The 14,841-nt window shown below is 42.6% G+C and overlaps 1 protein-coding gene across 4 annotated transcripts in view; it reads left to right on the top strand.

Moving 5' to 3' along the window:
* DSCAM (DS cell adhesion molecule) overlaps positions 1–14,841 on the top strand; it is an 836,160-nt gene that overhangs the window by 635,619 nt on the left and 185,700 nt on the right. The gene's annotated exons all lie outside the window — the stretch shown is intronic.

The following is a 14,841-nucleotide window of genomic DNA, read 5'->3' as shown; positions in this document are numbered from 1 at the left end:
GGCAAAGATGTGGAGAAACTGGATCTCTCATGCATTGCTGGTGGGTATGTAATATGGTGCAGACATTCTGGAAAACTCTTTGGCAGTTTCTCATAAAACTAAACATGCACTTACCATGTGGTCCAGCAATTGTTCTCTTAAGCATTTATCCCAAAGAAATATGAATTTATGTTCACAAAAAGTTATATAAAAATATCCATAGCAGCTTTCTTTATAGTAGCTAAATTCTGGACAAACAGCAACAACAACAACAACAAAATGAATGTTTCTCACAGGTGAATGGTTGAAAAATCTATGGTCCATCCATAGTTTGGAATGCTGCTATTCAGCAATCAAAAGAAATGAACTGTTGACACACACAATAACCTAGATGAGTCTGAAGGGCATTACGCTTAGTGAAAAAAAGCCAACTTCAAAAAGTTATCTTTATAAAGCATTCTCAAAACGATAAAACAGCAGAGGTGGAGAATACCTTAGTGGATACTAGTAGACAGGTACAATGGGTAGGATGGGGCCAGGTGCAAACACAGACAGATAGGAATAAGGAATTCTTCTGTGGTGTGGAATAGTTCCTCATTTGATGGTGGTGGTGGGTACATGGACCTGTAATGGGATAAAGTTAAACGGAAGTATACACCTACAGAGCTACACGAGCACATACACACAAATGAATGTGGGTTAAAAATAATGAAGGTGGCCAGGTGCAGTGGCTCATGCCTGTAAACCCAGCACTTTGAGAGGCTGAGGAGGATGGACCACCTGAGGTCAGGAGTTCGAGACCAGCCTGGCCAACATGGTGGAACCCTATCTCCACTAAAAATACAAAAATTAGCCAAGCATGGTGGCACATGCCTGTAATCCCAGCTACTGGGGAGGCTGAGGCAGGAGAATCATTTGAACTTGGGAGGCAGAGGTTGCAGTGAGCCAAGATCGTGCCACTGCACTCTAGCCTGGGTGACAGAGCGAGAATCCATCTTAAAGAACAAATAAATGAATAAAAGATGAAGGCATCTAGTCTACTGGATAATGTTAACTGGGAATGTTCCCATGTGGGTTTCCTGGCTCTGATATTGCACCACAGCTATGGAAATTCACAACATGGCCAGAAGCTAAAGGACACACAGGACTCTACTATTTTTGCAACTTCCTAGGAGTCTGTATTGCAAAACTTTAGCTTTGTAAAAGTAAATGCCAAAAGATATATATGTGCAATAAATGTGAATATATACATTAAAAAGTTGTGGGAGTTTGGAGAAGGGAGAGCCCCTTGTAGGGGTGAGGTCAGGGAGGGCTCCATAGAGGAGGTAGGACGTGAGTTTAACCTGGAAGGTGGAATGAAATCCAACTTGAAGAACTGGAGGTAATTTTCAGAATGGCAAAACAGTGCCAGCCAGTCATACCTGGAAAAGGAAAACCATGTTCTCAGACCTCAAAATAGGGAATGGGGGAGGTGGAGAAACATACAAGGTATGTTTGAGTGCTGGGGTGGAATGTCTGGGTAAAGAAGGAGTTAGTGGGTAACTGGAAACATAGGTTGCAGCAAGATTATAAAACGTCTTAACTTTTAAGCTGTGAAAACTGAGCTTAATCTGTAAATAGCAGGAAGACATTGTAAATTGCAAGTGAGAGGATATCATACTGGAAGTTGCATGTGAGGAAGCTGAGTCTGGCAGAGCCCTAGGATAGACTGGAGTGGAAAAGGAAGATGAATGAGCGATGAGTTATAATGCCATTTCACAGCCCAGCACAGGCATCCTGATTATGGCTTGCAGTAAGCTGATGGTCACGGGCCTAGAGGGGACAAGTCTAATTTAAATGATGCTATGAACCTTGACCAAGAAGGACCAGGCCACTGATTGCCTTGGGGACCTGGAATCCATCCAAGGAGGAGCCTGGGACAGGAATAGGGACAGGGAGAAAGCTTGGAAGGAAAGGTGCCACATTTCATCTGTCTCATGTTGATTGTAAGGGGATGGTGTGCCTTCCAAATGGAAGTACCTGGCTGACCTCCAGAGATGGGAGACAGCAGCTCAGGAGAGAGTGGTCAGGGCTTTATAAGAAATAATCGAGACAGCCCAAGCAGGTCAGATCAGCAAGGGTAAGAGTGGAAAAGAGAGCAGAAGAGGAAGAACAGAAATGTAGGAGTCTTGTGTGTGCAGGCATCGCCATGCAACGTCTATGAAATGAGTAGTTTCTCACTTCATCCAGTCTTCTTCTTGGCATTTTGCTCAAAGCCTGGCATTATACTGGACAGGTCCAGGGTTGGCCACACACCCTGCATAACCTTCTCACTCATCCTCCCCCACTGCTTCCTTAACAACCTCCTGTCACTCACTGTCATCAAGGCGGAAGCATGTGCACTTCACTTCATCAACCATGGCAACCAGCTCTGAGAGTCCCAAGTGGAAGACGATGAGGGGAGAATCACTCATTGTCCTCGTGGCTACAGGCAGCCTCTCTGAGCCCACAGAACCTCACCCCTACAATTAATCCTGAATGCGAGTTCTCAAAATAGTGCCCGCTCATTTAGCTGTCAGCTGTCTTGCTCTTAGAGCTTCTGAAAAGAAATCACAATAGCTCAGACCTCATCTTTGAGGGGCTGTTTGTTTTGAGGGCTTTTTCCTTAGTTGCATGCTTCCTATTGCCAGCAAAAATTTCTTAATCTTCCTAGAGGATCAGATTGGCCTGTTTTAGATTTTTAAATGAAAGGTTAAGAGGAGGGAGGAGTAGGGCAGTGAAAGCCGCAGCTGCCTCTCCATATTTCTGTTTCGCAACCCAAGGGGATTTTGTGTAGGGCTAAATGGAACCCCCTACGGATAACAGTTATGTCAGGAGATCTTTCTGCATGTTCTCGTCATACTCAAAATGTTCCTTCACATGTAAGTTAGAGAGGACATGTTACTTCTTTCCCCAGCTGTTTCCTGGTGAGTAAGAACTCCTGACCATGTGAGAATATGAGAGCATGCAGCACTCCAAGATCCTTGGGGAAAACAATGAAAGCAACAGCTCAGTGAGCCATTCTCCATGCTCAACCGAAAACCCTTTGAGATTCGCTGCCACTTTCTGTGACAATGGAATTGTGGCCCGGTTTAGCCCAGAAATGTGTTGCCCAGGCTGGAGTGCAATGGCGCAATCTCAGCTCACTGCAGTGTCTGCTTCCCAGGCTCGAGCTATTCTCATGCCTCAGCCTCCCAGGTAGCTGGGATTACAGGCACCCACCACCACACCCAGCTAATTTTTTGCATTTTTAGTAGAGATCAGGTTTCACCATGTTGGCCAGGCTAGTCTCAAACTCTTGACCTCAGGTGATCCACCCACCTCAGCCTCCCAAAGTGCTGGGATTACAGATAAGAGCCACCATGCCTGGCCAGTGCTGCTCAAATTTGAACCAGGAATATTTGTTGATGGGAACATACACTAAATCTATTACTCCATGGATTCCATTTTTATTCCATTGATAATGTATTATAGGTATTATTAGGAACTAACTTGTGTCTCCCCCTAAAATTCGCATGTTGAAGCCGCAACTCCTGCTGTGACTGTATTTGAAGATAGAGGCTTAAAGAGGTGATTAAGGTAAAATTAGGTCCTAAGGGTAGTTCTCATCTAATCTGACTGGTGTCCTTCTAAGAAGAGGTTAGCGTGTAGCCACACACATGGAGGAGTGACCGTGTGAGGACCCCAGGTGAAGATGGTTATCTGCAAGCCACGGAGAGAGGCCTCAGGAGGAATCAACCCTGTCAACAACTTGGTCTTGGACCTCGAGCCTCCAGGACTGTGAGATAATAAAGTCCTATTATTGAGGCCAATCCATGATAATTTATTATGGCAGACCTAGCAAATGAACACAGATCTATCTTTCTGAGACTTTACATTATAGTTTTTGTGTTTTAGGGGCTGAATAATATGCCACTTATAGATGTGTAATTACTTTTTAAGTAACTGTGAACATTTATGTTGTGCCTAAAGGCTCCTATAATCAATAAGATTGCAATGAGCCATCCTTATACATAAACTATGCACATTTATCTAATTAATTTCCTAGGATAAAATACAAGAAAAGGAATTACAGGGTCAAAAGATCTGCTCACACAACATATTTTTACACCTGGCCAAACTGGCTTCCCAGAAGACTGTACCATCAGACATTTCCATTGCAAGACTAGAGTGCCAGCACCCCAGTCCCCACCTCCTACCAAACTGGACACTTTCAGTCATCTGCTCTGCAATGGCAAGAAAATTTCACAGAAATTAAAGAAATTATAGAAAGAATTTGAATATCTTGGTATTTTAATATTGAAATTTCCATTTGTTTAATGAATTCTCTATCCTTTTTCACTTTTTCTGGGATTGTTTTTAGTATTTATAAATTTATGTTATTGCATAATAATACTTTTTTACTATAGTTACAATTTTTTTTCGGTTTGACTTTTTAAAAATTTTGTTTTCCATATTTATTTGTTTGCATGTTTATTGCCATACAGAATCTTTAGCAGGATGCATTGTCAAATCTGCTAAGCACTATCTTTGTGGTTTCTATCCTGGGGTATCATGCATGCAATGTCTTTCTTTTCTTGAAATGGAAAATAAATCACCTAAATTTTCTTTAAATTGTTTTTGTTTTGTTTTGAGACAAAGTCTTGTTCTGCTGCCCAGGCTGGAATGCAGTGGCATGAACAGAGTTCACTGCAGCCTTGACCTGTTGGGCCCAAGGGGTCCTCCCACCTCAGTCCCCCAGCTAGCTGGGACTACAGTCATGTGCTACCATGCTCAGTTATTTATTATTTTATTTTTGTAGAGATGGGGTCTTGCTATGTTGCCCAGGCTTCTTTTGAACATTTTTTTTTTTTTTTGGCAAATCCCAGGAAAAGCAAGGATTAGAAATGTTTACTACCACATTATTGGGATTTTTAAAAAATAAAAGCAGAGTTTTAACTTACTTGATATAACACATCCAAATAGCTATGTGGAAATGGCCCAGGAAATATGGTTGATGCTGGAGGCACCCATTCCTCTCACTGGGTCTCAATGTGTGCCCTCCTCCACCACCTACCCAGCTGTACCATTGTACCTCAGGAACATGTAGAATGTGCAGCCTCTGGAGTCCCCCCTAGACCCACTGAGTCAGCTCCACAGGTCGGGCCTACCCCCGTGTGCTAACATGCCCTCCAGAGGATGCTCACAGCCTCTGCTCTGCTACCCAGAGCTGCCTCCTTGACCCCTGGCCTCAGGTGCTTTTCCCCAGCAGTTTCCAGTGGATTCATCCTCACATCCTGTTCCTGTCATTAGGGACACACCTACTGGGATGAAGGTATTCTGGTGACAGCTCATTTGCTATTCACACAGGCACACACAGACTCACACGGGTGTTCAAAGGTCTCTTTACCTAGACGCACTGACATTACTATCCTTAGAACTGGGTGGAGTTCAGAGAGATACAGTTAGAGCACAGGTTACACGTTGTGTCAGATTTCACAGTTCCCTCTGCTTTGGGCATCCCAGGCTCTCTAAGAGGAAGCAGGTGCTGCTGCCAATGCCAAAAAGCCTCTGTGGGTGAGATAGTTCCATGTCGAATATAAAAGGCCAAATGTGGTAAAACCTCCAATACTTATTGCATAAATCCTCCCTAAATGGGATGGAGAGAGCAGTGCAACAATCTTTCTTCAGGAGAAACTATAGGTGATGCTTTTAAACATTATTTACTATCCTTGAATGTTTTTGAAACATGCTTAAATATCTTATATGCCTGTTTTATATGTGCATATGGGGAAATATACAATATAATATTCACCGAGGCAAAGAATTGGGGACATGATCAAGGAGATATTTTTAATACTTCAACAGATCATTTTTTGTGGCTCTTTAGCTTGGGACCTTGTGCTGTGAGAGGCACAAGTTTCTGTGTTCAAGAGAACACTTTTTTTTTTTTTTTTTTTTGAGATAGAGTCTTGCTCTGTCACCCAAGCTGGAGTGCAATGGTGCAATCTCAGCTCACTGCAACCTCCATCTCCCGGGTTTAAGCGATTCTCCTGCCTCAGCCTCCTGAGTAGCTGGGATTACAGGCTACCATCACCATGCCCAGTTAATTTTTGTATTTTTAGTAGAGATGGGGTTTTGCCATGTTGGCCGGTCTGGTCTCGAACTCCTGACCTCAGATGATCTGCCTGCCTTGGCCTCCCAAAGTGCTGGGATTACAGGCATGAGCCACTGCACCAGGCCCAAGAGTACACTTACTTGCATGAAGGAGCAGTGAATGAAACCTGCTAAGGCCCCCAGCATGCACTGCTTGGCAGCACTCATCTTCCTTGGAGCTGAATCTTCTAGCAGGTTTCTGCTTCATTTAGAGCCGTCAATACCTCAATTAGTGTCTGTTCGTCTCCCCTGGGAGGGACCTTTACACATGTCTCTTCATGAGCCTCTGAACTTTAAAAACCCCCTGAGAGTTGCTGGGTCATAAAATACCTCCTGATTAACAGTGCTGTTTGCCAACAATTCCTTGCTCCTTCCATTTCCCCCTTCTTAAAGATGTATCAACTGACATAAACAGAAGACACAGAAGGGGTGCAGCCTGCCAACAGTTACATGGAATGTATTCCTGCAAATGTGCCATGCATCTGTTTACCCATTTCACTGCTGGATGCAGGGCTCATAAGCCCATAACACAAAGCAGGAAAAAGCACTGGTTTTAGTTGCACATGTGACTGTGTGTGTGCATGTGCAGACACACTTGCTTGTGTTGGCATTTACTCGAAAGCTAGGATACGACCTCCATCTCTTTGTATCATTAATACTACAGTTCAGTTACATGAGAAGAATCTCGCCCCCACTTTGAATTATGAAAGTAAAGGCGCTGGTTCTGGCTTCCACAGGCTGGGTGTATTCCTTATTCTTTCAGAAGAGGTGCTTTTCTATCTGCAAAACCATTGGTGTTATTTTGTATCTCCATAGCCTCTCTAAGTCAGTTGTCCCTTCCACAAACCTATAAAATAGGCCAAGGTTATAGAGACCATCTGAGAACTTTAAGGTTTTCCTTTATGAGAACGTTCTTAAATAAGTAAGAAATATATAGTTGTATATTTATTTTCTAATAAACATAATAAAAATGCATCATCTTGGCTTTCACACAAAATTTGGGAGAAAGGTTTCAAGATAATTAAAAGTCTTTAGGAGCCATTGCCCTCTAGTCTTCCAGCAGACACCCAGGCAGGTATGAACATAAACACACATCCACATCCACGCAAACACATGCACACAGGCACACACAAAAGAATGAATGTACATGCATAGAATTGCACACGTGCTCACACAGGCACATTCATGGGTACATGTGTGTGCACACACGCACACAAATATGGGCCCTACAATTAATCTGTAGCAGCAATCTCTTTGAAAACACCACTGGGAACCCTATTCTTGGAAAGTAAGCAGACCATCACCCCATTCTCTTCAAAACAAGTTAACAAAAGTTAGCACTTAAAACACCCCTGTTTTCCTTTTATCTTTTACCTATGTTGTTAATATTCTACGTGATATGATGGACACAACCGTTATATTATTTATCAAATTCATTAATATTTCATTTAAAACCTACATAAGTGAAATTTACTTTTAAACATATTTTATTTATTGCTCAACCTTTATAAAAACCACATTAAATATTTAAAATTTTTAAATCTGTATGATCCCATTATCTTAACACTTTTTTTCTTACAATCCTTGCCTATACATATATATGAAAAGCTCTTTAGCCGTACAGGAATGTACAATGTAATTAGAAAACCAAGTCATGAACACAAATATTAACTAGAAAAAAAACTAACCTTATAAGCACTTTATAATCTACAAAGGTCTTTGCATGTATTTAATTGTGTTGCTTCTCTCTATTGAGGTGGGCATCACCCTTGCACCCATTTGATAGATGATTCAGAACATAAATACCCACCTAATTTTATAGCTTATCAATTGGCAGAGCCAAAAAACCTCAAAGTTAGCTCTGCTGATTCCAAAGCCTGAGCTGCTTCTGCAATATGCACGCAGGGTACTAGAAAACAAGGCTCTGGGTGACGGGTAGGGGAGGGATGCCACAAAGAACAGATGTAAAGCAGCCCCCAGGTGGGGGATGATTCAGACAGGTTGTGGGACCCCAGAGTGTGCATTTCTAGCATGTTCCCAGGTGATGCTGGTTCAGGGCTGTATAATAACTCTGTGTATAAAAGGAAAGAAACAACAGGTACTATACATGTATGGTAGATATCTGCAAACATAAGGTGGAAGGAAAGAAGCCAGACACAAATGAATGCAGAAAGGTTGATGGTATTTTACATACAGTTCAAAAGCAGCCAAGGATGTACCAAGTTGTTCATGCATCCATACCCAGGTGGGAAACAGATGGGCTGCATGGTTTAAAATTCTGGCTCCGCTCCTCTCTACCTGTGTGATCTTGAACAAGCCATTTAGCCTCTCTGTGCCTCAATTTTTATACTCATATTTACAAAACCTCCTTCCTAGGATTGCTGTAGGTATTAAAAGCTAATACATTTCTCAGCAGAGAACTTAATGCATATTAGCTATAATTATCATCCTCATTATTACACCAGATGTTTTTAAAAGGGCATTTATGTCCTTGATACTAGCATAGTCAAATGAAAAAGGAATGAAATAAATGATACAATCCAGATAACCAAATAAAAAAACCATATGGGCATCACATGCAAGCCAATGGAATCATGCCACTAATGCTTGAATGAAGAGGCACAGTGGAAAATGAATATTAACACAGATGAAGATCACATGGTCAGAGTGGTTTCAAGGAAAAGGTGAAACTTTAGGAATCAGAAATATGGTGGAGATTATAACGTTGAAGGAAGGATCAAAATACTGGGCGTTGGCCCATTTTGGACAAGAATCTTCAGGTAGAGGAGATCCCTGGGACACCCTAAAGAGCTATTAGCTTGTAATCTCTACAGCAACCCTAGGAGGGGGTGCTGTAATTATAGGTACAGAAATTGAGGCACAGAGAGGCCGAAGGACTTGTTCAAGGAGATAACCAGCCCAGCTTCCAGAAGACACAGCACACTGAACGGCTGGGAGCCACAGGCAGTGTGCTGTGCAGTGGGTGATGGAGACAAGACATGGTAGAATTCACCACCCCATTGAGTGCTAATGGGGATGATGATTTATCTTCTCTGTTTCTCCATGAAAAACAGCTGTACATAAAGCAGCTGCTCAAAAGTTAGAACATGGCTTCAGACATGACAACTCTGTGTCTGTCCCCAAGCCACATGGAAACTGCTTGCCTTCTGGGAAATGCATCTGAATATAAGAGTGAAGGGTGGCGGGGGTGGAATCCACCCCCCAGCTCCCACACAGGGTTGTTGGCAGGCTATTGGCCCAAGACTTGTCCTTCTCATGGTCCTCTCCATAGGCCACATGGGTATCCTGGTGATATCATGGCAGGCTTCCCTGGAGCAAGTGATCAGACAGAAAGAGAGAGAACTGGGGCACCCAAGTAGAAGGTAGAAGCTACAGTCCTTTTATAATCTGGTCTCAGAGTGATAAAATGTGGAGAGTTTGAATTCCAGGAGATGAGATTACCACAGGTCACCTTAAAAACTGGCTAACCCATGGCTCATAATATATTTTTGCTGCAATTAATATCCTGGACAGCACTTACCCAATTTTTCAGGATGACATGATCTATTTTCTTCCTTGTTTCTTTATTTTTTTACTATCATTGATGGCAGGAAATCAAAATCTATTTACTATTTTCCTTTTTCTACATAATTATTAAGAAGTTTTCTGCTGAGTACAATGGCTCATGCTTATAATCCCAGCAATTTGGGAGGCCGAAGCAGGCGGATCACCTGAGATTGGGAGTTTGAAACCAACCTGACCAACATGGAGAAACCCCGTCTCTACTAAAAATACAAAATCAGCCAGGCATGGTGGAGCATGCCTGTAATCCCAGCTACTTGGGAAGCTGAGGCAGGAGAATTGCTTGAACCAGGGAGGCAGAGGTTGCAGCGAGCTGAGATCATGCCACTGCACTCCAGCTTGGTCAACAAGAGTGAAACTCCGTCTAATAAATAAATAAATAAGAAGCTTTCTTATTGGGCAAAATATAGTACCTATGTACAGAACCAGACAGATGGAAAAAAAAAAAGAAAGAAATGGCCAGCCTGCCTCCATGCGAGTTAGAGGAAAATACTGTTTTTGATATCTTTTGGTTAATATTCATACTTGTCTTAAAAAATAAATCAACTTTCTTCCAATAATGTGACTTGAAATAACTTCAGAGTGAATGTAATATGAACCCTAAATGTTCTTCGTCTTTCCCCTGACACATTCAATCATGTCATAAGGGCCTGGAAAAGCTGCCAGGAAGTGGAGATGTTGTCATTCTTGTTCAAGCTTAGCATCAAATATGACCCACTCCAGCTTGGAAACATGAATTTGATTAACGGTTATAATCTAAGTAACTTCATTATGTAAGCATAATAACCCAGCTGAGGAGATATTTTAGTATGTGCTAAGAATTTGTTAATTCCTGGCTGGAAAAATCATTTTCTTTATAAGGATTAGAGCTGCCCAGTAGGCAGCCTCACTTGCCGAAATCTTATGAACAATAAGTATTTGGACAGGAGAAATTTTTGATTCTGCAGCAGGGATAATCACACTTGGTGTTTCTGTGGGGCCATTCTTCCAACACCCTCAGAGGGTTCCTCTAACATAATCTCATTAATCCTCATTACAGCCTTAGGAGGCGGCAGGTCTCATTGTTCTTACAGATGAGGAAACGGAGATGAAACTGAGAGGCAGAGACCACAAACAGGGAAAATACTGCTTGGCCTTTGAATGGCTTGAGAAGAAACAGGCAAAAAGACTCAAGCCATTTTCTCTAGCAAAGTTCTACAGACTCTAAAAAATAATGTTTTGTACACCAGTGTTCACAATAGCCAAAAGGTGAAAGCAACACAAGTGTCCGTTGACAGATGACTGGATTAAAAAAATGCTGTGTACACATATCTTGAAATATAATTCAGGCTTAGAAAAGAAGGAAATTCAGACACAGGCTACAGCTTGACTGAACCTTGAGGAGATTATGCTAAGTAAAATGAGCCAGATACAAAAAGACAAATACTGTATGATTCTTCTTATAGGAGGTCCCCAGAGAAGTCAAATTCATAGAGACGGAAAGTAGAATGGTGACTGCCAGGGCCTGGGGGCCAGGAAAAGGAGAGAATAGGGATTGTTTAAGAGTTGCCAAGTTTCAGGTTGGGAAGAAGAAAAAGTTTGGGGGATGAATTGTAGTGAAGGCTGTACAGCAATGTGCCTTGCAGCTGAGAAAATGGAAATTTCAAGGACTTTATGGGGAGTCTCCTGTAAATGGACTCAGGCCCCAGAATGAGGGGCTTCCAAGGGTGTTCTGATTTGAAGACAGACTAAGAATGTACTTTGTCCACTGAAAGTGACCAAAATGACCAATTTTTTGTTATGTGTATTTTACCAAAAAAAAAAAAAAAAGAATCCTGAGGACAGCAAGTATTCGCTGTGACTGGGAAGATACTACTGTGGGTGTTTTTTGTTTTTTGTTTTTTTAATTTTACTTTAAGTTCCAGAATACATGTGCAGAATGTGCAGGTTTGTTACATAGGTATATATGTGCCATGGTGGTTTGCTGCACCCATCAACCTGTCATCTAGGTTTTAAGCCCTGCATGCATTAGATATTTGTCCTAATGCTCTCCCTCCCCTTGCCCCACCCACCGACAGGCCCCGGTGCGTGTTGTTCCCCTCCCTGTGTCCACGTATTCTCATTGATCAACTCCCACTTATAAGTGAGAATAGTCAGAATGGCTATTATTAAAAAGTCAGGAACAACATATGCTGGCGAGGCTGTGGAGAAATAGGAATGCTTTTACACTGTGGGTGGGAGTGTAAATTAGTTCAACCATTGTGGAAAACAGTGTGGTGATTCCTCAAGGATCTAAAACCAGAAATACCATTTGACCCAGCAATCCCATTACTGGTTATATACCCAAAGGATTATAACTCATTCTACAATAAAGACACATGCACACTTATGTTTATTGCTGCAGTATTTACAATAGCAAAGACTTGGAAACAACCCAAATGCCCATTAATGATAGACTGGATAAAGAAAATGTGGCATGTATACATGATGGAATACTATGCAGCCATAAAAAAGAATGAGATCTTATCCTTTCCAGGGGATGAAGCTGGAAGTCATCATTCTCAGCATACTGTGGGTGTTTTTATGGCTCCCAGGTGATGTAAGGAATAGGGACCACAGGTTTAATGAAAGATAATCGTGATGTATTGAGTGGCTTGGGAAGATGTTGATTGCAAGTGGATTAGTCACTTCCCTCATTAAGGCTTGCCTCTGTACCCATTGCCTTCATGATGGGCAGAGTGGGCTCCCTACTTCAGATTCCAGATTGTGGTTACTCATATCTAAGTCTTATCCAAGAGACTGCCCTCTCCTCAGCTCTTCTTATTCCCCTCCTGCTCAAGGTACCTGGGCTGTTTCTTTCTACTGGAAGCAGTAGAGGCTGCCTAGGAAGTGGAGTACTGTCCTGACATTCAGGGACAGCATCATCGGTACAAGACCAGTCCAGTCCCACAAGCCAAAGATTATCTGCAGCCGCCATCTTGAATTCTTAACAATTTTGTCTTTGAAATTGTGTTTTGCAAGTGAAGTCCAGTGTGACAATGGAGCATGAACAGGGTATGTGGAGCCACAGCTCCCATGTCATCCCACCTCCCACTGCCTCTCCAGAATAGGTTTTCAGCTGTTCACTTTCCTGCCCCCTGGAGCCCCAGGCTCCCCTTTCCTGCAACTGCCCAGCAATGGCTATGGTCATCCAGTCCATGGGGATCTGGGTAAGTATGTGGAGAAGGTCAGAGACAGCCTCCTGTAACATTTCTGGGTGTGGCACCCCTCCCTGCTTCTAGGTGGCAGTACCAGAGAGTTTACAGAGGATGACCGGGCAGGGTGGGTCTCCAGGTCACTGAAGGTCACCTATTCGACTGAGAGAGGCCTGACTACACGTCCCCACCCTGGCCTGGGTATGATGATGGTGGGGATCCAGGCATGTGGTGGGGCACATGAGTGTGCATGCCAAGTCACAGGGCTGTTACTGGGAGTTAGGGAGGGTCAGCACTTGACCAGCCAGTATCACCATGCCAGAGGAAGTGGGATATTAAATAAAAAATAAAGGCCATCATGACAGAGGGAGAGAGGGAGACCACAGAAGGAAGGAAAAAGCTTTATATTTTAGAACTTTAATGGCACCTTTTTCCTGCTTTTTGAACAAAAGCCTCCATATTTTCATTTTGCTCTGGGTCCTGCAAATTGTGTAGCCAGTCTCGTCTGCTTAATTCTACAAATATGCAATAGGCTTGCGGGAGATGTTTGGGTCTTGCCTTGCAGCTGAGAAAGTGGAAATTTCAAGGACTTTATGAGGAGTCTCCTGTAAATGGACTCAGGCCCCAGACTGAGGGGCTTCCAAGGGTGTTCAGGCTTGAAGACAGTCAGGCTGTCAGATACCCCTGTGGTCAGACACTCTGCACCCTTGGCCTCCTCCGCTACTATAAGGGAAAGAGGCTTTGCACTTGGAATCAGAAGACCTGGATTCTCCTTCTAGATCTTCCATTTACTAGTTGTATGACTTTAGGCTAATTACTTAGTTTCCCCATCCTAGGTAATTATAGGTAAATGGAATTAAGAATCCCTTCTCCACTGAGAAACACATGTGTTGCTGCAAGCTCATGATATGAAAATGATCTGAGACGTGAAAGGACAGAAGGACAGATGCGTTATTAACTAACTGTGCTGCTACTACCATTTAGCTTTCCAGACCCTGGAGGAAGGAAGGAGGAAAGAGAAGGGAAGAGAGGGGATGGGAAAGATTCATCACTTTAGGGATTAATGAAGATCATTTTACTGTATTACTTTTATGGTAATATTGATTTTTTAATAAACTTACTAAATAAAATAGAACTTTGCATTAGGGATAGGAGAGAGGCAAGGGGAATAGGTCTAGTCATTTCCAGTCTTAAACCCCCTAGTTCTCTGTTTCCTTACTTAGAAATTAAGGAGAGGCTGGGCGCGGTGGCTCACGCCTGTAATCCCAGCACTTTGGGAGGCCGAGGTGGGTGGATCGCAAGGTCAGGAGATCGAGACCATCCTGGCTAACAAGGTGAAACCCTCTCTCTACTAAAAATACAAAAAATTAGCTGGGCGTGGTTGTGGGCGCCTGTAGTCCCAGCTACTCGGGAGGCTGAGGCAGGAGAATGGTGTGAACCCGGGAGGCGGAGCTTGCAGTGAGCCAAGATTGCGACACTGCACTCCAGCCTGGGCCACAGAGCAAGACTCCGTCTCAAAAAAGAAAAAAAGAAAGAAAGAAAGAAATTAAGGAGAAAGGGGAGAAGATGTCAAGTAGAAATTAATTCCAAAATTCTCTTATATTCTAATCTTTATTTTTGCCCATTTAAAGGCGGTGTTTGGTGTCTGGTTTCTATTTGACCATCTGCATAGACCTTTGTTAATATAGATGCAAATCCAATTAATCTGCTGGAAATGTTTTGTCTATGTGTCTCACTTCTATTTATAGCATAATTTAGAATCAACTTAAAATAGTACTCATGTGTCTTGGGTCATTTCCATGGCTAGTGTTTTTATTCCATCATGTCGTATGGCTGAAATACTTATGCAGTATATGGAAAAGTTCTTAGCACACAGTCAACACTCATAAAAATTAGCTATTGTTGTTATTATGGCACTGTGAAGGAGAAAACAGAAAAAAGCAGGAGACAGAAA

The sequence above is a fragment of the Homo sapiens genome, chromosome 21, assembly GCF_000001405.40.
Source record: "Homo sapiens chromosome 21, GRCh38.p14 Primary Assembly".
Lineage (NCBI taxonomy): Eukaryota > Metazoa > Chordata > Mammalia > Primates > Hominidae > Homo > Homo sapiens.
The sequence above is the reverse complement of the archived record's forward strand: the minus strand, read 5'-3'. Positions and strand labels throughout refer to the sequence as shown.